Genomic DNA, 26981 nt, shown 5'->3' with positions numbered 1-26981 from the left:
AAGGCTAGTTTTCTTCCACCTTATGAGTGTTAGGAGTTTCCTGTTCTTGAGCCAGTATTAGAGAGCTGCTTCTGGGGCTTTCTCTATCTGTACCACAATACTCACTTTTGGGTTTCTGGCTGGCTTGATTTCTGACCAGTGGGTACAGGAGGGGGAATGTGGTAAACTCACCACAGGGTTGGTGGTATATTAAATTCTAGTGTTCTTCCTTGTGTTCCCTGCAGTTATTTACTTTTCAGAGTCCTTAAGTAGATGTTTCATGCATTCTGTCCAGGTTTTATGATTAATTTCAGTGAGAGAAAAAAGTCTAGCATGTGCTTATTCCAAATTACCTGGGTCCAAAACTAAATTCTGCTCTTTAGAGTAATTTTAGTTGTCATAGGAAATGATTCATTTTTGTTTTGGAAGAAAGAAAAAAGTAAAAACTTAATTAACTGGAACTCTTCAGTACATAAAAATGTTGTTTCTTCTTGGCTACAGCAAGTTTAAGATTTTTGGGGGGTGATGCCTTAAGTTCGGCAAACATTCTGCTTAATTTTGAGTATATCCTCACACATAATTCCCAAGTTTGGCACATAAAAGATGGTGATTGGGCATATAAAGCCAGTACACTAACTGGAAATACTGGGATTTGAACTCAGATATGACTAATGTCATAGCCTAAGCTTTTTTACCACCATATTATGCTGCCTTCTTAATTTAAATACATGCTGCCCCAAACACACATTTTTTTTTTTTTTACTGACTGGTACATTATTATTCATTCCCTTGACCCTTCCCCTCAACCTCTGTGGGAGGAGTATACTTTCCTACCCCATTGATGATGGAGTTGGCAATGTGATTTGCTTTGACCTAGTGGTGGCTGGAGTGTGGTCCCCCACTCTGGGCTTAACCGTGTGACTAGGTGGAACTGGCAAAAGCAGAGGCTTGGAATATGCTTTTGTGGTTGGCCTTGCCTGCCCTCTTGTCCTTCGTCCATCACCGTGAGAAAAACGTGCCCAAGGATCCTGCCATTTCAAAGAGAGTAAAAGAAATGTGTGACATATCTGGATCCAACCAACAGCTTGCAGCCAAGCCCAGCTGCAGCCAACCTAGATGAGTGACATGTGAGTAAAAAAAAAAAAAGTGATGTTTCAAGCTTCTGAGTTTAGAGGTGGTTTGCTATGCAGAATTATTGTGGCAACTGATAGACTAATTATGACCATGTAAGTATTTAATCGAGGACTTCTCATGTTTCCATATGAAATTTAAATGAACACAGGATTTTGACTTAAATCTCAATACCTAGGAATAGACACATTTCTGATCTCTTCTCTGTTGACTTCTTATTCTATTTTCACCTAAAAGAGAGTTCTTACTAAGGAATGAGCTCCCCCTTCCCTTCCCCCTCCCTTTAACTCCATCTCTGGTGGTTCTTCCAAATTCCACCAAGTTTATTTGGGGCTTCAGAATATAAGTAATGACTTAATGAGTGAGAAACCACAGTTTATACTTCCTTAAACTGGGCTTATTTCCCTTAGTCCCCTTTATAAATGCAGCATCAGCATCCCCATAGGTCTCTCTGCATGGTTTATGCTGATAAGAAACTGCAGATCACAGGTCTGTGCACTGGTGTACTTCTCATGACTCTGTTTCTTCCCAAGTGGTGTAATGAAGTGTAGGATTTGGACAGACTTAGGCTTGAATATTACTTCTATGCTTTAATGTTTGCAGGACTGAGGGTAAGCTACATACCATCTTGAGTCTTAGATTCCTTAAATGTGAAATGGATGATAATCTCTGTCTAGCCTCCCTCATGGCATTGTTGTAAGTTCCAGGAGCTCAATATTAAGGAGATCTTATGATTTTTGTTATCTACCTTGGGTATGTTCAGCTATTAGCTCAAAGCAGTCACCATGAACAGTCACTCATGTTGCAATTGCAACATGCTCTCTTCTTTGTCTTCCTTAGGAGAGGGAGTTTTCAGTGAGCTGGAGCTTGGCAGTTCCATCTCACCACCTCTGGCTCTGACACAGCCTGGGCTAGGCAGTCTCACTCTCCATCTGCACCCTTCTTCTACTACCTGAGTAGGAGGATCCTAACCACACTCACCATATGCCTAGGATCCAGAGAATTCTGTTTCCTTGACAACAGGAATGCAGGTGTCAAAGCAAGCCAGCTTTGAAGAGCCACAACAGTAGCAGGGATGCTGCCCTTGTCTCTACATTGCTTTTGGCTTCTTGTGTTTGTTCCCACTAGTTGTTCAAACGCACAGTGTGTATGTGACCGATCAACTAAAGAAAAAAACAAAAAACAAAAAAAACTATGTAGCCTAGCTGCTTTCTTCCAGTGGCAAAGGCCCTAACGTTGTTTTGCAAAAATAAAGAAGTTCTTCTACCTCACTCTTGATGGTCTTTTTAGAATCAGCCAACCTGTGGACCCTGGTTATAACTACTATAATTATGATTGCATTTACCCTTTGGTTCACGGGCTTAATTGGTAGGGCTTTACAGTGGAAGGGAACTCTTTTGTTATTGAATATTTACCAAGTGTCAGGTACTTTACATTCTTTATATCATTTATTCTTATTTAGTCCTCACATCAGTCCTTTTATACCCATTTTACAGATCAGGAAACTTAGAGTTAATGATCAACACATTCAGAAGATACACCTACATTTTTCTGAATCCAACATTTGTACTTTTCATGACATCACACAGTCACTATTTGCATATTGCTTGTTTTTGGTCATTCTAGGAGTATGGTAATATATGCTCTACCATCATTTTGATGAACAGTGGTTGGAGTCAGGATGTGGAACCAGACAGCCCTGGCTTTGTGTTTTGGCCCTATCATTTATTATCTGTGTGATCTTAGAAAACTCATTTCATCTCTCCAAGTCTCAGTTTCCTTATGGGAATAATAGTTTTTTGGGGGGATTAAATGAGATGATACATGTGAAGGAACTTGTGTAGCACCTGCCATAGTGTCTGACCCATAGAAAACACTCAATACATATTGGCTAAAAAGTCATCTGTCTCAAAGCAGAAGTACCATTGGAGCAAAAAATCTCTTCTGTTTGTTTTTACAGGACATTAGCAGGTTCTTCAGAACTTAGTTACAGGAGTTTAGAACTAGAAGGGATCTAGGGTTGGTTAGTCCATACGTCTTGTTTTTCATGTAGTGAAACTGAGGTTCAGAGTACGAGAGTGACTTGGATTTGTGTTGTCCTCCACTACTTCCAATTGCAACACACAAGGTCTCATGATAAAGTCACTGACTTTGGGTAAAGAATTTCATCTTTCTTGGCCTTGCTTTATCCATTTGAAAACTGGCAATGATCTCTATCTTCCTACTTATCAGACCTGGGATTTATAAGGAGAAAATGAGATTTTAGGTATTTGTGATTAGAAAAACATACATTTCCTCTAGGCTGCTCCCTTTTCCCACACTCCACATATCCTGGTGCTTCCCAGGCCAGGACTGCAATTCAAGGAGAGTCTGCCTTCTCTGGAAATCTCCTTACCCTCTTTGCAATCATTACTGTCAAAACTTCCTTGCCCTGTGTTCCATTCCTTTTGGGACCTGTTGTCTGTCAAACTCACCTGATAAAGTAAAATATAGACTGATGTCTATAAGGTGTTAATGGTCTAATGTAGTAGCTTTTCCCACATATCATATGCATATTAACAGAAGCCTTCCCTTATAGGAATGATATTCAGAGGGATTTCATGCATAAAGATGCAGGCTTATAGAAGAGAGCAATTTGAGTAGGTGGACTCTCTTCTCACACCACCTGGATAAGTCACTTGGAAAATATCTATCTTTTGGAGCCTCCTTAGAAAAAAATGGAACGTCTTCTTAGGGCTACAGTGAAGTTTGGCCTTGCCTTGGTAGCCTTTTGTAGCAGTTGAGTGGCAGAAGTAGAATTTGTCTCAGGTCTTAGTGATGGGGCCTATCCTGCTTGGGTTCTGGGGCTGGAGGTTGGTATTTGAAACCTTTTAAAGAGTATTTAATGGGATGGGTATTGAGATGTGTCTCAATCTGGATAAAATCAGCAAGAGTAATCCTGTTAGTATCAAGGACAAGGGCATCTCTGGCCATTCCTTTGAAGGCAACAGAATCCAGTGGTCACAAAGTAGCTGGTGCTCATTTTCATCGTTCCCTCCATTCTTATCAGTACAGAAACCAGCATACTGCCTGATCACAAAGGGTGGGCCAGTCTTGGTAATTGGCGTGGGAACCAATTCTTTTCAACTAGTATTTACAGTGAGGCATTGAGACAAGAACTCTTCCTGCCTTGTCGTTGGTGCTGTGTCTTTTCCTAGTATTAGTCTCAGCATATAAGAGCAAGTGTTTGTAGGTATCTTCTAGTTCACTACCAGTGGGGGTGACTTGCCCAAGGTTGTAGAGTGAGTTCATGGCTTAATGAGGGCTATAGCCCAGAGATCCTGATGCCCTGCTTTGTGTTCTTTCTAGTGTACCACACTGTCTGTCTTGTATAGGTTAATACAGCATGGGCAGAAGGTATGGTTTCCAGAAGCCCCCTGTTTTATATGTATGTATATATGTATGTGGGTATACATGTACACACATGATGTGTGTGTGTGTGTAGTGCTTAGGACAGTGGCTGGCACTCCTACTGTTGAGTTATCCCTCGAACATTTTAGCTATCATTATTATTACTGATAATATATTCTATGCATACACAGCAAATATGAAGGCCTTGAAATTCTGTAGCCCACTCTTCTTAGTTCGTTGATGAAAGTTTTTGGAAATCTCTCACATATCTTAAATCATCATAACAATCTCATGGAGTTAGCATTTGTATTGCTATTATTGTTGTTGTGGTTACTGTTATTATCTCCAGTTGGCTCAGAAAAGCTGAATAGCTGGACCAACAGATACAGAAAATCAGTGATGGAGCTGAGTTGACCAAGGCCAGTGATTATGCTCCTACACCAGAGCCTCCTTCCTAAGAGCTGTAGAGTGAACCTGGATAGCTCAGCTGATAGGCCCTTTGACTTGTAATCTGAGGGCCAAGCTGTAGAATAGGTATCACAGCAGGCTGAAGTCCTGAACACAGAGCAGGTCAGCAATAGATATGCAAGAGCAGGTCCAGGGATGAAGGGGAGCTGTTGTATGTAAGGAGCAGATGCCTGAGAGTAGGAGCTGAGGGGCAGTGGCACCTGAGATAGACTTCACTTATCAACCAATTCTGTTAAGACCAGCCATACTCATGAGAGTACCTCTCCTCATCTCAACTCCCCTTTACCTCTCCTCATCTCAACTTCCCTTTACCTCTCCTCATCTCAACTTCCTTTTCCAAGTATTCTCAAGAAATGTCACCTAATTGGGATGCAGCTGACAAAAATAATGGACTAAGATCAATTTAAAAGGCCCAGCTCCACTCTAAGAATATAATACAGCAATATATTTGGGAAACAGAAGGTGGAGGAAAAGAAAGAGAGAGAGAATATGAGAGAGGGAGGGATAGAGATATGAAAGCATTTCACAGGCAAAATCTAAACATATAAAATATAGAGGTAAAAAGCAAGCAGCTGTGTAAGAACAAAAGAATATTCTGCTGCTCCTTATGCTGCGTGCTGCCCAGACTCTTCAATTGCAACTCCTACTAAATAATAATGTAGGCTCTCTCTTTGCTCCAGCTCAAAGAGAATAGTAAAGCAGCAAAACACTCAAAGTTACAGTAGGGCCACAGATAAAAGTTGATGACATGGATTCCCTCCTCCTACTCCCACTTTGGCAACACCTACTAGAGAAGCACAATGATAGAGAATATATTGAACAAAGAAGGAAAAGACATTTGAGCCCATGTGGGGGAAGAGAGCCTTTTTTTGCTTCCCCAGTGAGATATTTTGATGATTGCTAATGGCTATAGTGCTCAATTTTGTGGAAGAAAGTGGGAGTGGAAGGAGAGGCTAGTTATTCCGGTATCTCAGTTCTCAATAGGACATACCTATCTTACATGCGAAACTCACATGTCAGATACCATCATAAACATTAATTTCTAGATTCTTCTGCAGATTCAAAAAGTCAAAGAAGTTGGACACTGAATTTTACCCATTTACAGGAAGACATGAAATAGTGGACTGATATTCCAGGTTTTAGAAAGGAAGTAATGATGGTTTGCATGAACCATAGACTGGCAAGCTTGATGTCAGTCTTAGACAATGATTCTAGAAATTGCTATTAAATGATGGCTTATAATCCAAAGAAGAGTTACTAGCAATAAGTGGGAGTTTACATGGGTTTACTGAGAAGAAGTCATGTAATACAAACATCATTCACTTATTTAATAGGGTTAGCTGAGTGATAGCCCTGGGGAATGTAGCATATACTATGTATGTCACTGCTATTCTATCATTTCACAAGATTTTTTATGACATCTTTGTGGAATGTATGAAGATCTGTGGCCTCACTTATACAATTATGTCAAGCAGTAGTTTGTTGAAGTAACACACCCAAAAGGTATGGGAACAAATCTGGACAGTGTTACTATGACAGTTTCTACTCATAACTCACTGGGTTCTATCTTCAAGCCTGTCCTGTAAGACATTTTTATTAATCACTTGGTTGAAGTTATTTAAAAAACAGGCTCATCAGATTTATAGAGGGATAGTAAACAGAATAGAAACCAGAATTAAGATTCTATAGATTTTGACATGTTTGGTGAATGGGCTGAATCTGCAAGATAAAATTTAATAGAAGTAGGAATAAAATACTATCGGGGGTGGAAATAATCAAGAAACATTAACAAAATACAGAGTATGGATAAGCAGGGCTTGTGTAATAAAGGTTTAAGGGTTTCAGTGCACAATGAGCTCAAATGTAAGTTAGCTATGAGATAAGGCTATGCAATTTTAAGATACATTAATATAGTGGTTCACACACTTGGTTTCCCAAGCTTCAACCCTGAAACTCTCAGGCTGAGGCCCAGGAATCAGTATTTTTAAAGGTCTTCAGGTGTCCAATAAGAAACCAAGATTGAGAACCACTGTGATGATAGAATCTGAGGAAATTGATAATCCCATTGTAATGTTTATTGATGGAACTATCCCTGGAATATTTCAATTAATCTTACACAACACCTTTTACAAACTGGAGCCCATTTAGAGCAGAGTGACAAGAATGGTGAGGGGACTTAAAATCATGCAAACCATGCCATGTGAGAAACGTTAAATGCTTAATCTCAGGGAAGAAATAAAAGCTGCTCTCAAATGAGTGTGCCAGAGAGATTACCCTTATCCTTTCTGGCTCCAGAGATGAGAACTACAACCAAGAAAACCAAGTGACATGGACATACATTTTAACTCAATTACAAAAAATCATTCTATAGGGGCTGTTAATGATATAATGGGCAGCCTCAGAAATAAATGATTACCCTATAATTTGGGGACTCCAAGCCATTTGACTGACCAGTTGGTGAGGAGAATGTGGAGAAAGCTTATGTTATTCAAGACTCTTTTGGTGGCACATGAAAGAAACCTAATTCAAATAGCTTAAAATTGCAGTTGATTGTCTCATATAACAGGGAAGTCACTTCAGGAAGGGCTGATTCAGGGGATCAATTTACATCATTAGACTCTGTCTCTCCATTTTTTGGGGCTCTGTTTGCCTTTGCTTTATTCTGCATGCAGGCCCTCTCCATGTGGTGTCCTAACAACCCCAACAGAGAGAGAACTTTTTTTTCTGACACTTCCCAAAAAAGTTCTGGGAGAAACACTGATTAGCACAATTTTAAATGGGTCAATGTGGTCAGAGAGAGAGAGAGAGTGTGTGTCTTTTGGGAGAAGGGCAAGGGAACTAGATGCACAAAACAATAGAGGCCTCAGGCATTGGATTGGATAGGATTGAGTAAGTGAACATTTCTGCCATCTCTGGAATTTTAATATTATTTGATAATATGGCCAGGATACAGCAATAAGTAGAGAGTACGATGCTTTCCTTGGCTCATCAAATGTATTCTTTTCTCTAGAGAGGCCCATCTGTTCTTCATGTCCTTCCCTGTCTTCACACCTTTGGTTGTGCTGCTTAATCTTTGCAAAAAGACCTCCAATTACTACATCAAAACCCACAGTTCGAAACTTATCTTAAGCCCTGCCTCTTTCTCTGTTACAACTGTGCTAGCCTACACTGATCTGCACCTCCTTTGAATTGCTTTGAAGCTCCTTTGCACCTGCTTTGAATTTATACTCTGCACAGTTATTAAATATTTCCTTATATCATGTCTTGAATTTTATTCTATCGCTCAGTGATATGGTTTGGCTCGTGTCCCCACCCAGATCTCATCTTGAATTGTAATCCCCATAATCCCCATGTGTCAAGGGCAGGACCAGGTGGAGGTATCTGGATCATAAGGGTGATTTCCCCCATGATGTTCTCATGACAGTGAGTGAGTCTCAGGAGATCTGATAATTTTGTAAGTGTCTGGCATTTCCCCTGCTTGCCCTTCTCCTTCCTGCTACCCTGTGAAGAAGGTGCCTTTCTTCCCCTTCGCCTTCTGCGATGATTGTAAGTTTCCTGAAGCCTTTCCAGCCATGCAGAACTGCGAGTCAATTAAACCTCTTTTCTTTATAAATTACCCAGTCTTGAGTATTCTTCATAGCAGCGTGAGAATGAATTAATACACTCTGTATAAGTGAGTCTTATAAATTGTAACTGTATTGTAACTGTGGGTTCCTTGAGAATAGGGGCAGTTGCAGCATCCTTTTCTGTTCTCCTCTGTGCCTAGCATAAAGGACATTGCATAAGCTTGTTCATTAAAATGTTTTGATTGATGGTAGTTTTTATATATACCTCTCCTTTTATTACTATGTCTAAAGTCTCTGCTATGCAACTAATGATGGATTAAATTGCAGAGATGGGGCCATTGCCATCAAAGGGCCTCTGTGGAAGAAAGTGACTCTAGTGAAGAGGACATTGGAACCCTTTCCCACTGGTATAAGTTCTGTTCCAGTCATGCTTTATAACTCATGCTGCCACATTGGTTTCCGTGATTTTGGACTCTATGAATGGGTAGGTTTCCCTGGTTAGTCTTTCATTCATTCACTCATTGCAGAATAATTTACTAATTACCAATGTTATTCCAAGCTCTGTTCTAGGTGTGAGGGATATACAAAACCCCTGTTCTCAAGGAGCTCCCAGGAGGAAATAAAAAAGCAAAATTAGATAATTTTAATATAGCACCAACCATGGGGTTCCAGTTATGCATTAGATGGAGTAAGCACATCCTACCCTGTCTCCCCCTTCAATATAGCTATAAAACCTGATCAGAATGAATGGAGCATGGAGGAGTCTGAGAAGCAAATGTTAGCATATTGAGAAAGAACCAGAATTCAAAAGTGTCACTGAACTGGCGGCAAGTATGCCATGTTTTCCCCTCTGGTATACCCTGGCCTGAACTCAGTACACCAGCAACTTGGGAGTGGGCACCAGGGATTAGATAGAGAGAGCTATAGGAGAAGCAATGTAATTCTGGCTCAAGGAATGGAAAAGTGAACTCCCAACACTTAGTGTGGGAATCTCCCATTTTTTTTCTTCCTCCTTTTCTATGATTCCTTGTACTCTACCTCCTGAGAAATCCCATGCAACAGTGGCAGCTAATGAAAATTGGAGCTTGCGGGAGCTAATACTCTGTGGGTGCGGAATTTTCTTCTCTTTTCGGTGTATCTGTGATTCAAAGAGGGTTGGACCACATCCCATTGCTTTTTTTCTTGTCTCTGTCTCCCACCACTTGGCACTAAACAAGGGCACAGTTGTAAAATTGTGTAGCAAAGCAGGGTAATTAAAGCCCACTTTTCAGGCCTGAGGACTAAAAAGAAGATCTCAGGGAACCAGAAAGTTATAAAGAGATCATAGAAATTGATAAGTTTTATAAGTGACCTCATATAAATTGTTTATGAACTCCTGAGCTCACTCCTGAGTAAATATGTATGGATTGACTCTATATAGCAGACTGAAGGCTTTGAGAACTGAAAAAATAGACCACTCAGGTCCCAGACCATCTAATGAGTGGTGGGCATGTGGGGCATAGCTGGATAGTGGTGTAAAGGTCTTAAAAATGGAATGGCCTTTGGAACTACAACCCACAGAAGGTGGATTGGAACATGTGACTGCTAAAACAAAACATCGACATTCTCGATAGGATTTAAACAATTTCTGAGATCCATACAGTACTAGTCAAACATCCAGGATACAATCCAAAATTATTAGGCACTTGAAGAATCAGGAAAATCTCAATTTGCATGAGAAAAGACAGTAAACAGATGCCAATCCAACATGACAGATGTTGGACTTATCTGAAAAGATTTTAAATCAGCTATTTTAAAAAATATGCCAGCAAGTAAGAACACAACCCTGGAAAGGCAGGGAAAACTGGAAAGCCTCAGCAAAGAAGTAAAAAAATATAAACAAAAACCAAATGGAAGTTTAAGAACTGAAAACATACAATAACTGAAAGTAAAGAACAAAAATCACTACATGGGCTCAATAGCAGAACATGGTCAGGATGATTTCATGGATTAGGTTACACTTCAGGGGCTTGTTTAAGAACAAATAGAAGGGAATCTAGTGGGGAAGAGTTGTATAGGTGACCTATTGCTGCATAACATACGACCTCAAAATGTGTCAGGATAAAACAACAAATGTTTATTATCTCATGCAGGCAGTATCTGAGAGTCAAGAATCAAAAAGTGGCTTAACAGAGTGGATCTGGCTCAGGGTCTCTCATGAGATTGCAGTCAAATCTGTCAGAAGGAGTGTAGTCATCTCAAGGCCCAGCTGGGACTGGAGACTCTTCTTCCAAGCTCACTCATGGTTGTCTGCAGACCTCAGCTCCTTGCCATGTGGGCCTCTCCCTAGGGCACCTTGCAGCATGGCAGCTGGCTTCCCTCAGAGCAGGTGATCCAAGTGAGAGAGAGACAAAACCAAACTGGAAGCCACAGTCTTTTTCATAACCTAATCTTGGACGTAATAGCTCAGTGAGTTGCTAAGTCCAGGCCAAGGGGAAGGGAATTAGACTCCACCTCTTGATGTGGAGGGATACCCAAGAATTTGTGGTTGTATTTTTAAAACCACCACAAGTGGGGAGAGATTATCCTAGGTGGAGGGAATCGGGTATGCAAAAGTACAAAATCAAGGGAAAGCATTAAAAATGGACATTTGAGGCTGTTTCTGTCTATCCAGTTCTGTTGGGCTACTCTTTAAGCACTGGTTGATGGGAAGTTTCTCTAAGTGTCAAATGGCCATCGGAGCCTCCTCCTTTATTTGTCCTGTCTGGGGAATGCAGCAGGTCCTGGACAGTACTCTCACAGTAGGGGATGAAAATGACCTACAGCCCCCACAGTATTTTGTTTTAGAATCTTGGAACAAAAAGGAAAATATAAAAAAAACAATTTTTATTAGTTGTAGGTGTATGCCTTCACAGTAGCATGGGAAGGTGGCCTGGAGATTTCATTAGAGGCTGATTGTCCTTGATAATCCTCCATTCTGCCACCGTCTTCCATCTTCTTACTAGCTAAGGCACTGTAACTCAGTTCTGCTATAATGTCTGTTTTGAAAATGTGAATTTGTTCCAATGTGATTGATGTATCAGGGAACAATTTGAGCATGACATGAATTTCGTGTTTGCTTGAGCATGATTCCATCAGCAAGAAACACCAGGTGAATGCAGAAAATTACACCTAGTTCAACCGAGCTGTGTGGTAATACATAAAACACATGCCTCAAACATCTATCAACCACACCCATCCACATTTAGTGTTATAACTTTCCATCTGATTTCAGACAACCCTCTTTCCATCACTTCACAATAACCCACAAACTGCAACGCCCATGTCCACAAACAAACTTTAGGTCTTTCCAAGGCACAGTGCCATACTTATTGTATAGTTTATGTATTTCTTAACCATTAACACATGTAAAACTGTCCTGCCATTACTCTCTGGTTTTAAATGTGTCACTGATGTTTTTACTGTTATTCCCCCAACCCCATTTTCCTCATAAGCCATGCACTTTTTAATGTATAATTTTCCAAATTAGAGTAATTTTTAAAGAATATGTCATGTTATAGGAAAACTGACTATTTTTTTTTCTTACCTAGCATAGTGAACTTTTGTGGATTTGGCAAGCAATGAAAATAAAGTCATCAAAGATTCTGTATTGCAGAATCAAAAAGAATAAGGAAGAGAAACCTACAAGTATTCACTATTCAGTGGAGATGCCTCTCTTTGGTGGAGGACCATTCAGAGCTTCTATCTAAAGACTAACCTTGGGTGGATTTTCTCACTAATAGTTTATTATTCTGGCTTCTGGGTTTCCTGCTCTTCTGAACCTGAGCATCCTCTTCCTCAGCAAGTGGTTTTGTTTCTTTGGCACATAGGGCCGTGAATGGATAGTGCAATACTGTTAAAGAATTTGGACTTTATTCTCTTGCATCTCTGACCTTGAACAAGGCTATTAGTTCTTACTGACTTCATATCCCCTCTGGGAACACAACTTTATGACCCACCAGTGGCACTTGACCTTGGGTCTGTGGCACCTGATGCTGAGGGGTCAGAATCAAGTTCCAAAGTGGTTTGGGGCATTTCCAACAGGGAACAACTTTCTCATGCCACTGGGACCACATTTGACTGAATTGGGAGAGGCAGGAGACAAGCTTGATCACTTATTTCCCTTCCTCTTCCTCATAATTCTTTCTCTTCATTGAAGCAGTGCTGTGTAGCCATTGAGGATTTGGGCTCTGGGTCCACCACTAAATGGTGTGTGATCTTGGGCCACTTACTTAACCTCTCCACATCTCAGTTTCCTCATCTTTAAAACTGAGATTGTAACAGCCCCTACCTCGCAGCCTTGTTATAAAGAATGAATAATTCTTGAAAAGCACTTAGAACTGGGCTAGTTGCTTTATACACAAAATATTAATCAATACCTAAAGTATGAGGAGCTTGTATCTATTTAGAATCAGATAGAGATGAAAATAAAATGATTCTGAGCTATTAAATTCTGTCAGTAGGGAAATGTACATGCATTTATCCACATTTCCTTAACACGCGGCCATTGCATTAAAAAGCTGCAATTGTGATTTCTTTTCTATTTATGAAGCTTATAGACATTGACCCATTTTTTCATTACCAGCATTTCTTACTCTTAGGACCAAGATTATTAAGGTAAAGATGCTTCTATATGACATTGGGTGAAGATTGAATACTTAAGTTATACAACTCTAACAACAAAAACACATTAGGCTACCTGACCAGTATATTAAATGAAATGTTAAGTGAGACTGTAATCTCACCAAGGGCAGAGATCTTGTCTTTTTCTCTTGTATTGCCTTAGCATCTAATATGGTGGCTCTCAACCAGGAGGAATTTTTGTCTTTCCCCCTCACCACCTCATCCCCTGTGGGGGATACTTGGCAATGTCTGAAGTCATTTTGGTTGTCATCATGATGTCATGACTTGGAGGGATGCTATTGGTATGAATATTAACCTCTCCATACCTCAGTCCTCTCATCTTTAAAGCTGAGATTATAACAGCCCCTACCTCAGAGGCTTGTTATGATAAATGAATGACGTAATCCTTGAAGAGCACTTAGACCTGGGCTAGTTGCTTTATACACAAAATATTAATCAATGCCTAAAGTATGAAGAGCCTGTATCTATTTAGAATCAGATAGAGATGAAAATAAAATAATACTGAGCTATTAAATTCCTTCAGTGGGGAAATGTACATGCATGAAGGACATGAAGGACACGAATAGGCACTTCTCAAAAGAAGACATACAAGCAGCCAGGAACCATGTGAAAAAATGCTCATCCGAGTAATAGGCTCAGGATTATGGCAGACAGGAGACAGAACTAGATTGCAGCTCTGATTCTGACAGACAGAGCAGCATATGGAGGCTTGCATTATGAATTTTTGCTCCAGAATGACTACAGGAATAAATCAGGAAACCTGAAAGGACCCACAGACCCTCTGAAGAAAGCAGATTGTTCCTGCAGGACCCAAGAGACACCCCAAATACTGTGAGTGCCCAAATTGTGGAAGTGGGAAAAAGACCATCTGCCCCTGAACACACACCCCCCACTGGGGAAACTGAAGGTCTAGAATACCGAAGATTCTGATCTTACCTGGAGCTGAGTCAACTTAGAGAAATGAGTGAAATACAGGGGTAAAGGAAGCAGCGGAAAAAGCCCTGTGAGCTCACTGGGTTCCCTAACAAGCCATCTCTGCCCGGCCTCACAGGGGTCCTTCAGGAGGGTGGCCAGAGGCACTGGGAAAAGACCACAGGGAGAAGGGTATCTCCAGCTGAATTTTGTAATGATTTGAACTGATCAAGAAATCTCCTGGTCAGAACTTGGGAAAGGGCATGAATCCAGTGAGCAGAGTCCACAGGTGGGGCAAGAAGGAAAGCCATACTTGCTTTCACAGCTGGGAGGCAGATATGCTGGGGCAAGTTATCAGCCCTGCTCGCCCACTGCCTGGAAACAGACTCGGTGCTGTTGCGGGGTCACAGTGGGAGTGAGACCAGCCCTTTGGATTGTGTGGGAGCTGGGTGATGCCTTTGACTGCTGACTTTCCCCCACTTCCCTGACAGCCTGCATGACACAGCAGAGACAGCCATAATCCTCCTAGGAATATAACTCCATTGACCTGGGAATCTCACCCCCATCTTCCACAGCAGCTGCAATAAGACCTGCCCAAGGAAAATCTGAGCTCAGACATGCCTAGCTCTACCCTGACCCAAGAGTCCTTTCCTACCCACCCTGGTAACTAAAGACAAAGGACATATATTCTTGGGAGTTCTAGGGCCACACTCACCACCTGTTCCTCCCCATACTACCACACCTGATGCTCTCTGGAAAGTCCCACTTCCCAGCAGGAGGCCAACTAGCACAAAAATAGTGCATTAAACCATCAAAGCTAAGAACCATCACAGAATCCATTTCACCCCCCTGACACCTCTACCAGAACAGGTGCTGGTATCCATGGCTTAGAGAACCACAGATGGTGCACATCACAGGACTCTGTGTAGACAACCTTAAGTACCAGCTCAGAGCCTGGTAGACTTGCTGGGTGGGTAGATCCAGAAGAAAGATAACAACCACTACAGCTTGGCTCTCAAGAAGCCACGTGCATAGGAAAAAGGGGAGAGTACTATGTCAAGAGAACACCCCATGGGACATAAGAATCTGAACAACAGCCTTCAGCGCTAGACTTTCCCTCTGACAGAGCCTACCCAAATGAGAAGGAACCAGAAAACCAACTCTGGTAATATGACAAAACAAGGTTATTTAACAACCCCCCAAAATCACACTAGCTTACCAGCAACGGATCCAAACCAAGAAGGAATCCCTGACTTACCTGAAAAAGAATTCAGGAAGTGAGTTATTAAGCTAACCTGGGAGGCACCAGAGAAAGGTGAAGCCAAATGTAAGGAAATTAAAAAAAAAAAAAAAGGATACAAGAATTGAAAGGAGAAATATTCAAGGAAATAGATAGCATAAATAAAAAACAATAAAAACTTCAGAAAACAATGGACACACTTATAGAAATGCAAAATGCTCAGGAAAGTGTCAGCAATAGAATCAAACAAGTAGAAGAAAGGGATTCAGAGCTCAAAGTCAAGGTCTTTGAGCTAATCCAATCCAATAAAGACAAAGAAAAAAGAATAAGAAAATATCAACAAACCTGCCAAGAGGTCTGGAATTATGTTAAACAACCAAACCTAAGAATAATCAGCATTCCTGAGGAGAAGAGAAATCTAAAAGTTTGGAAAACATATTTCTGGGAATAATCGAGAAAAACTTCCCTGGCCTTACTAGAGACCTAGATATCCAAATATGAGAAGCACAAAGAACACTTCGGAAATTCATTGCAAAAAGATCATTGCCTAGGCACATTGTCGTCAGGTTATCTAAAGTTAAGATGAAGGAAAGAATCTTAAGAGCTGTGAGACAAAAGCACCAGGTAACCTATAAAGGAAAACCTATCAGATTAACAGCAGGTTTCTCAGCAGAAACCTTACCAGCTAGAAGGGATTGGGGCCGTATCTTCAGCCTCCTCAAAACAATTATCAGCCAAGAATTTTGTATCAACAAAACTAAGTGTAATATATGAAGGAAAGATAGTCTTTTTCAGACAAACAAATGTGGAGAAAATTCGCCAGTACCAAGCCACCACTACAAGAACTGCTAAAAGGAGCTCCAAATCTTGAAATAAATCCTGGAAATACATCAAAACAGAACCTCTTTAAAGCATAAATCACACAGGGTATATAAAACAAAAATACAAGTTAAAAAGCAAAAACAAAAAACAACAACAACAAAAAACAAGGTACACAGGCAACAAATACCATGATGAATGCAATGGTACCTCACATCTCAATACTAATGTTGAAGGTAAATGGCCTAAATGCTCCACTTAAAAGATACAGAATTGCAGAATGGATAAGAATTCACCAACCAAATATCTGCTGCCTTCAAGAGACTCACCTAACACGTAAGGACTCACATAAACTTAAGGTGAAGGGGTGGGAAAAGACATTTCATGCAAATGGACATCAAAAGCGAGCAGGAGTCGCTATTCTTATATCACACAAAACAAAATTTAATGCAACAGCAGTTAAAAAAAACAAAGAGGGACATCATATAATGATAAAAGGTCTTGTCTAACAAGAAAATATCACAATTCTAAACATATATGCATTTAACACTGGAGCTCTCAAATGTATAAAACAATTACTAATAGACCTAAGAAATGAGATGGACAGCAACACAATAACAGTGGGGGACTTCAATACTCCACTGATAGTACTAGACAGGTCATCAAGTCAAAAAGTGAACAAAGAAACAATGGATTTAAACTATACCCTGGAACAAATGGACTGAACAGATATATTCAGAACATTCCATCAAACAACCACAGAATATATATGTTCTATTCAATAGCACATGGAACTTTCTCCAAGATAGATATATGATAGGCCAAAAAACGAGCCTCAACAAATTAAAAACAAATTATATCAAGCCCTCTCTCAGACCACAGTGGAATAAAACTGGAAATCAACTCCAAAAGAAACCTTTAAAACCATGCAAATACATGGAAATTAAATAACCTGCTCCTGAATGATCATACGGTCAAAAATGAAATCATGATAGAAATTTAAAAATTCTTTGAACTATATGACAATTGTGACACAACCTATCAAAACCTCTGGAATACAGCAAAGGTGGTACTAAGAAAAAAGTTCATAGCCCTAAACACCTACATCATAAAGTCTGAAAGAGCACAAACATACAATCTAAGGTCACACCTCAAGGAACTAGAGAAACAAGAACACACCACGCCCAAACCCAGCAGAAGAAAGGAAATAACCAAGATCAGAGCAGAACTAAATGAAATTGAAACAAAAAAAAAATACAAAAGATAGATGAAACAAAAAGCTGGTTCTTTGAAAAGATAAATAAAATTGATAGACCACTGGCAAGATTAACCAAGAAAAGAAGAGAGAAAATCCAAATAAGCTCAATAAGAAATGAAACAGGAGATATTACAACTGACACCACAGAAACGCAAAAGATCATTCAAGACTACCATGAAACACCTATGTGCATAAACTAGAAAACCTAGAAGAGCTGGATAAATTCCTGGAAAGATACAACCCTCCTAGCTTAAATCAGGAAGAATTAGATACCCTGAACAGGCCAATAACAAGCAGCAAGATTGAAATGGTAATTAAAAACCTACCAACAAAAAAAAGTTCAGGACCCAGGCAGATTCACCACAGAATTCTAGCAGACATCCAAACAACAGGTACAAATCGTATTGACACTATTCAACAAGGTAATGGAAAAGGGAACCCTCTCTAAATCATTCTATGAAGCCAGTATCACCCTAATATCCAAACCAGGAAAGCACACAATAAAAAAGAAAACTACAGACCAATATCCTTGACAAACATAGATGTTAAAATCCTTAACAAATATTAGCTAACCAAATCCAACAACATATTAAAAAGGTAATCCACCATGATCAATTGGGTTTCATACCAGGGATGCAGGGATGGTTTAACATACACAAGTCAATAAATGAGATAAACCACATAAACAGAATTAAAAACAAAAATCACATGATCATTTCAATAGATGCAGAAAAAGTATTCAACAAAATCCAGCATCCCTTTATGATTAAAACTCTCAGCAAAATTGGCATACAAGGGGCCTATCTCAGTGTAATAAAAGCCATATATGACTAACTCACTGAGTGGGGAAAAGTTGAAGGCATTCCCTCTGAGAACTGGAACAAGACAAGGATGCCCACTCTCACCACTCCTCTTCAACATAGTACTGAAAGTCCTAGTCAGAGCAATCAGACAAGAGAAAGAAATAAAGGGCATCCAAATCGGTAAAGAGGAAGTCAAACTGTTGCTGTTTGCTGATGACATGATTGTATACCTAGAAAACCCTAAAGATTCCTCCAGAAAGCTCCTATAACTGATAAAAGAATTCAACAATGTTTCTGGATACAAAATTAATGTACACAAATCAGTAGCTCTCATGTACACCAACAGCGACTAAGCTGAGAATCAAATCAAGAACTCAACCCCCTTGCCAATAGCTGCAATAAAAACAAAACAAAACAAAACAAAACAAAAAACAAACCTTAGGCATATACCTAACCAAAGAGGTGAAAGACCTCTACAAGGACAACTACAAAACACTGTTGAAAGAAATCATAGATGACACAAATAAATGGAAACACATCCCATGCTCACGGATGGGTAGAAACAATATTGTGAAAATGACCATACTGCCAAAAGCAATCTACAAATTCAATGTAATTCCCATCAAAATACCACCATCATTCTTCACAGAATTAGAAAAAACAATTCTAAAATTCATATGGAACAAAAAAAGAGCCTACATAGCCAAAGCAAGACTAAGCAAAAAGAACAAATATGGAGGCATCATGTTACCTGATTTCAAACCATACTATGTGGACATAGCCACCAAAACAGCATGACATGATACTGTATAAAAATAGGCATATAGACCAATGGACCAGAATGGAGAACCTAGAAATAAACCCAACTACTTACAGCCAACAGAGCAAACAAAAACATAAAGTGGGGAAATGACGCTCTTTTTAACAAGTGGTGCTGGGATAATTGGCTAGCCACCTCTAGGAGAATGAACCTGGATCCTCATCTCTAACCTTATACAAAAATCAACTCAAGATGGATTAAGGACTTAAATCTAAGACCTGAAACTATAACTATAAAACTTCTAGAAGATAACATTGGAAAGACCCTTTTAGACATTGGCTTAGGCAAGGATTTCATGACCAAGAACCTAAAAGCAAATGCATTAAAAACAAAGATAAGTAGCTGGGACTTAAATAATCTAAGAGCTTTTGCACAGCAAAAGGAACAGTCAGTAGAGTAAACAGACAACCCACAGAGTGGGAGAAAATCTTCATAATCTATACATCTGACAAAGGACTAATATCTAGGATCTACAATGAATTCAAACAAATCAGCTAGAAAAAAAACAATCCCATCAAAAAGTGGGCTAAGGACATGAATAGACAATTTTCAAAAGAAGATATACAATGGTCAACAAACATATGAAAAAAAATTCCTCAACATCACTAATGATCAGGGAAATGCAAATCAAAACCACAATGCAATACCAACTTACTCCTGCAAGAATGGCCGTAATCAAAAAAATAAAAAAGTAGTAGATTTTGGCGTGGATGCAGTGAACAGAGAACACTTCTACGCTGCTGGTGAGAATGTAAACTAGTACAGCCACTGTGGAAAACAGCGTGGAGATTCCTTAAAGAATTAAGAGTAGAACTACCATTTGATTCAACAATCCCACTACTGGGTATCTACCCAGAGGAAAAGAAGTCATTTTATGAAAAAGATACTTGCACACGCATGTATATAGCAGCACAATTCGCAATTGCAAAATCATGGAACCAACCCAAATGCCCATCAGTCAACGAGTGGATAAAGAAACATATATATTTGATGGAATAGTACTCAGCCATAAAAAGGAATGAATTTATGGCATCTGCAGTGACCTGGATGAGATTGGAGACTATTATTCTAAGTGAAGTAACTCAGGAATAGAAGACCAAACAACACTCTATGTTCTCACTCATAAGGGGGAACTAAGCTATGAGGATGCAAAGGCATAAGAATGACATAATGGACTTTGGGGACTCAGGGGGAAAGGGTGGGAGGTGGGTGAGGGATAAAAGACTACAAACAGGGTGCAGTGTATACCACTCGGGTGATGGGTGCACCAAAATCTCACAAATCACTGCTAACGAACTTACTCATGTAACCAAACACCACCTGTTCCCCCAAAACCTATGGAAATAAAAAAAATTTGAAAAAAATTGGATTAAAAAACAATAAAAAATTAAAACTTAAAAAAATGCTCATCATGACTAATTATAATGATGCTGATAGAGGCCAGGGTTGCTGCTACAAATCCTGCAATGCAAAGGAATGTCCCTCCCTCCAACGAGGGGGCAGGAATTATCCTGCTCCAAATTTCAGTGGTGCTGAGGTCAAGAAGGCCTGCTCTAACACAATGTCTTAATATAAGGAATTGTGGAGCCTCTTGATAAATGTGTGTTGAATTAATGAATAAAGTTTTGGGGACAAAGCTGATTTGATAGCAGAGACAGTGCTTGGCAGACAAAGTCATGGAGAAGCAATTGCAGGAAAGAGTGGTGTTTAGCCAGTTGATGTTAGCATGATGCTAAGACCAGTGTTTGCCCTATTCAGACATCCAGTCATACTGGTCTGTGTCTTGGCCATATGGTTCTTAAATATTTTGAATAATATCCCTGAGAAGTGGTGCATTTTCTGGAGGCTATGAATGATTGCTTCTTTAAACAAGTAGTCTTAGAAACCACAGGAAAAGGAAATAAACTGACTTTGGCTTTGAGACATAAACAGGAAAGGATACAGAGAGTGGTTGTGGATAAGTCACACTGGTGTGCCAGCCATAGAAAAATGAAGTTCAAAATTCTGGTGAAAGAGGGAAAATCAGAACAGTGTATCCCAAAGTCCCTCAGTTCTAGTCAAGGCAACTGTGCCCAAAATGGGAAATTAGTAGGGAAAAATTAGAAAGTAGTGTAAAGCATGTTAACCACCCGTAGGAAACCCAAAGTCTGTTTAAAAGCATATTATTGAGCAATGGGGAAAGAACTTTCTGTTCAATAAATGGTGTTGGTATATATAGCTGGCTATCCATATGCAGAAGAATGAAATTGGACCTCCACTTTTCACCATCTACAAAAATTAACTGGAGATGGGCTAAAGATTTAAATGTAAGATTTGAAACTATTAAAAATTCTAGAAGAAAATCTCAGAAACACCATTCTGGACATGGACCATGGGAAAGAATTTATGACTAAGTCCTCAAAAGCAATTGCCACAAAAACAAAAGTTGACAAGTGGGACCAAGTTTAAGTAAAGAGCTTATGTACAGCAAAAGAAGCTATCAATGGGGTAAACAGACAACCTACATAATTGGAGAATATATTCACAAACTATGCATCCAACAAAGGTCTAATATCCAGGATCTATATGGAACTTAAACAAATCAACAAGCAAAAACCAAATGACCCCATTGAAAAATGGGGAAAGGATGTGAAGAGATGCTTCTCAAAACAAGACATACAAGCAGCCAATAACTACATGTAAAAATGCTTATCACCACTCATCATCGTAGAAATGTAAATCAAAACCACAATGAGATACCATCTCACACCAGTCAGAATAGTGTTTATTAAAAAGTCAAAAAACAACAGATGTTGGCGAAGCTGTGGAGAAAAGGGAATGCTTACACACTGTTGGTAAGCGTGTAAATTTGTCCAGCCACTGTGGAAAGTAGTTTTGCAGTTTCTCAAAGTACTTAGACAGAGCTATCATTCAACTCAGCAATCCCATTATTAGGTATGTATCCAAAAGAAAACAAATTGTTCTACCAAAAAGATACATGAACTCTCATGTTCATCACAGCACTGTTCACAATAGCAAAGACATGGAATCAATCCCAGTGCCCATCAACGGTGGATTGGATAAAATATGTTTTAGGATAATAAACCAAAACTGAACCCCTGAGTGGTTAACCTGACAAAGGAAAAGATGTTATTGTGTATACGGGCAAGTGGACAAGTTAAGACTAGACACTTCAAAGCTCACTAGGCTTTTGAAAATATACTTCAGTAGTAATCATGGAATTGCAAATTGAGGCTGGGCATGGTGTCTCACGCCTGTAATTCCAGCAATTTGGAAGGCCAAGGCGGGTGGATCACTTAAGGTCAGGAGTGTGAGACCAGCCTGGCCAACATGGTGAAACCCCATCTCTACTAAAAGTGCAAAAAAATTAGCCAGGCATGGTGGCGCACACCTGTAATCTCAGCTACTCGGGTGGCTGAGGCATGAGAATCGCTTGAACCTGGGAGACGGAGGTTGCAGTCAGCCAAGATCGCGCCACTGCACTCCAGACTGGGTGATAGTGCAAGACTCTGTCTCAAAAAAACAAAGAAACAAACAAAAACAAACAAACAAACAAAACCCAGCAAATTGAAAAGGTGAGATTATTTTACCCATCAGATTGGCAAAATGGAAAAAGATGGTGAATATCCAGTGTTAATAAGAGTGAAGAGAAATGGAAACTCTAGTTTACTGTTGGGAAGTATAAATTGGCACAGTCTTTTTGGAATGTACTTTGGCTATATCTATTAAAATCTAACATATGTGCTTTCTCTTCATTATATCGATTCTACTTCTACATATATAGCCTAGGGAAATGTTTGAAAATACAAGTTGAGCATCCCTAGTCCAAAAATTTGAAATCAAAATGCTCCACAATCAGAAACTTTTTGAGTGCCAACGTGGTGCTCAAAGGAAATGCTAATTGAGCGTTTCAGATTCCAGGTTAGGGATGCTGAACTGGTAATAATGCAAATATTCCAAAAAACTGACAAAAAATCCGAAATCTAAAACACTTCTAGTCCCAAGCATTTCAGCTAAGGGATACTCAACCTGTATGCACAACAAGGTATGACAAGAATGCTCTTTGCTGCCTCAAATTGACCTAATCCACCACCTCTTCCCCAACCAAAGGTAACTGAATAAGAAGGGTTCAGCCCTATTAGGGAATATCACATATCTGTTTAAAAAGAATAAAATAGCTCTGTATCTACTGACATGAAAAATCTCTAAGACACATTGTTAAGAAGAAAATGCAAGTGGAAAATATGCTATATGTAGCTTGACACTATTTCTATAAAAGAAAAATCCCACCCAACAACTTCATAAATTTAGATATATACATACACAAGAATGGAAGCAAGAATAAGAAACAAGAATAGGAAAAGGCATTGGGGGATATAGAGCAAACTGATCTTAGTGGTTGTCTCTGGGGAGGGGAATAGAATGAGAAGGCAGTGGTCAAGAAAGTCTTTTTACGTTATAGGTACCAATTGTGTTATTACAGGAGTATATCCATATAGTACTTATATAGTTAAAAATACACAGAGAGAAAATAGAAAACTGACACAGTGCGGATGTGCAGAATTATAGGGTATTTTTTCCTTCAAAGAAGGATTTACTACCAGATTCCTGGAAACAACAAGTTCCATTCAGAAACAACTTAACTGCCTGTCGCCTTAGGCAGGCAGTAGCCAGCTAGGCCCAGTGTTAAATGAGGATGGAGAGGGGAGTAGGGCTTGTCAGTGGTGAGCTAACTGTCCAACTTTTTCTTTAAGCCCCAGAGCCCTCAGGCTGCTTCTGAAGCCTGTATCTCACATTTGCAGGCCCCCAAAACCAAAAGTCTTGAGGAAATGTCCTCATTTTGCCTTATCATTCTGCTTGTTGGCTAATCATTGCTGCAATGGGGCTTCCGTATATGAGGGCTGTGAAGTGTTTAGGAGAGGCCATCTGGGGCCTAGGCCAAGGGTGCTTTGGGCTCCTGTTAGACTGGCCCAGAAATCTATGTTCCTGGTCACCTTTTAGAAAAGAAAAAGATGTCTTGAAACTCAGAAGTTAGTTCAGTAATGGGCTGAAAAAGCAATGTGGATTTTTCCCTTTCTGTCTACATTAGCAAATAAATTTATTATCCATTTCTCAATAATTCAGTCACATGTTTAAAAACAATCTCCTAAATTGCTCCTTCTGCTGTGACTTATTGGCTCATGCTATACTTATTGGGTTATCAAAATATGTCATTTTCTCACAATGTGGAGTGGAAGTCCTTCAATGTATCTGTTGGGGACATGAATGTAATTAATTTTCTGTTCACAGGCCTTGCCCAGGGAAGATGGGACTGGCTGATTTGAAAGACTGGTGCAGCTCTGGACTGAGAGGACTTCAAGCTAAGTGATGGGTCCTGAGGTCTAGGGACTCTTTCATAAACCATCTCATTTATGGAAACCTGACACACATATGGGAAACTAGATCTTTCACTTGCCTTTTACTCTTCTCTCTTGCCTCTGTCTGGCCCCACATATCAATGTGTACTTGTAGTAAACCATCATGGAAGCTACTGGCAACACAGGTCAACAATTTTGACCCCAATGGGTGAAGCTAGGTACCATCCAGCCCTCAAAGCTGTAGGCCTTTCTCCATACTCAAACATATTTTGTGTCCTATTTTCTGAGCTCTCCCCTAGGATGAATTTGATCCTTGAATGTGTGCTGAGGTCCCAGTGTGTTTCTGTGTGGTTCATGCCAAGCAAAGTGTTTACACTTAGAAAATAAAAAAATTGGCTGGGCACAGTGGCTCACACCTGTAATCCCAGCACTTTGGGAGGTCAAGGCCGGAGGATCACTTGAGGTTGGGAGTTCGAGACCAGCCTGATCAACGTGGAGAAACCCTGTCTCTACTAAAAATACAAAATTAGCCAGGGGTGGTGGCACTTGCCTGTAATCCCAGCTACTTGGGAGGCTGAGGCAGGAGAATCGCTTGAACCTGGGAGGCAGAGGTTGCGGTGAGCCGAGATCACGCCATTGCACTCCAGCCTGGGCAACAAGAGCAAAACTCCATCTCAAAATTGATTAATTAATTAAAAAAAATTTTAAATCATAAATTTTTGATCCTAAAAGGCATATTGGAACCATTTCATGAAGGGTGTCCTGCCTCATAAATTGCAAAAGATTTCTTCTCATTATCAACAAAGCTGTAAGGTCTCACAGAACATGTTTTCAAAGTTTTAAAAATTGTGATAAAATTTACCATTTGAACTATTTTTAACTGTACTGTTTGGTGGCATTAAGTACATTCACACTGTTGTGCAACCATCACTACAATCCATCCATCCCCAGAAATTTTTCGTCTTCCCAACTAAAACTCTGTACACATTAAACAATAATGCCCCATTACTCCCTCCCCATAGACCCTCCAATCCCCCATTCTTCTTTCTGTCTGTATGAATTTGGCTACTCTAAGTACCTCATATAAGTAGAATCATACAGTGTTTGTCTTTTTGTGACTGGCTTATTTCACTTAGCTTAATATCCTGAAGGTTCATCCATGTAGCAGCATGTGTCAGAATTTCCTTCCATTTTAGGGCTGAATAACATTTCATTGTGTGTATATACCACATTTTGTTTATCCATTCATCATTGGCTATTGTGAACAATGTTGCTATGGGCATGGGTGTACAAATATCTGTTCAAGTCCCTATTTTCAATTCTTTCATGTATGTACCTGGAAGTGGAATTGTTAGATCACATGATAATTCTATTTTTCAATTTTTCAAGGAGCTAGCATACCATTTTACATAGCAGCTGTACTGTTTTACATTCTCTCCAGTAATGTATAAGGTTTAGGTTTTTGTGTGTGTTGTTTTAAATAATAGCCATGCTAATGGGTGTGTAGCAGTATCTCATTCTGGTTTTGATTTGCATTTCCCTAATGATTAATAAGTTGAACATCTTTTTATGTGCTTATTGACCATTTCTATATCTTTTTTGGAGAAATTTCTATTCAACTCCTTTGCCCATTTTTTTGCCTGGGCTGCTTGTCTTTTTGTTGTTTGATTTGCAAGCTTTTTAAATCCTTGGACCTGTTATTCAAATGATGTATTTCAGAAAATTCTGATGTATAAAACAGATTAAAACCGAAATCCTTCAAGTACAGGTGGGGAGGAGATGGAGCCTACCTGTTCATTCTTTACTTCCATGGCAGCCTCTAACAGGACTCCTTTATACGTCTAGCACTGTTTCTTAGCTCTTTGGAAAAACTACCGTACCCTTGGCATTTAGATGGGGATCCATGCTTCAGAATATTTGAAGGGACATAGATATGCCCAAAGAAGGACTCACCTCTGTGTTTTGCCACCTTCAAATATTGACCATGGCTAGAGAAATGTGGTGCTTTTCACTGGAGTATGTTAGTGTTGTTTTGTCACTTAGTTCCCGAAGACACACTCAGCTATTGATCCTTCCACCTATCAAGGGAAGCTCATAAATTATTGGGGAAATGTCAAGAAGAATGAAGAAAATGACAGAAATTCTTTCAAACCCAGAGAAATACATTATTTACAAATTCATATCCCCCACTATCAGGTAGATCCCCACAAGCAGTAGGAATTTGTAAGAACAAATAAGCCACTGATCATATTGCTATTTATCACAGTCACTCAATCCTGCTTCAGCCTTCAGACCTTGTTGAATCAGGAGAATTTTTTAAAGTGGGTGTTTGTAGGGTTTAAAGCATTTTTTTTTTTTTAGTTTGAAAGTAAAATTCTGAGAAGAGTCTTATTATTTGGGGGTCTAAAATCTGACCCTCAGCCCATTGGTTAAGATTCATCTCCCTTTTGGGAGTCTTACTCCTTGTTTCGGGTAACAAGCCCTCAAGATTTTCATGTTTTCTTTGGTCTGTGCAGGTCCCTCCACTTCTTCCTCATTGGAATTCTGTACCCACCTGTCATCTTGAGAACCAAAAT

The sequence above is a fragment of the Homo sapiens genome, chromosome X (genome assembly GCF_000001405.40).
Source record: "Homo sapiens chromosome X, GRCh38.p14 Primary Assembly".
NCBI lineage: Eukaryota > Metazoa > Chordata > Mammalia > Primates > Hominidae > Homo > Homo sapiens.
Note: the sequence above shows the minus strand (reverse complement) of the source record.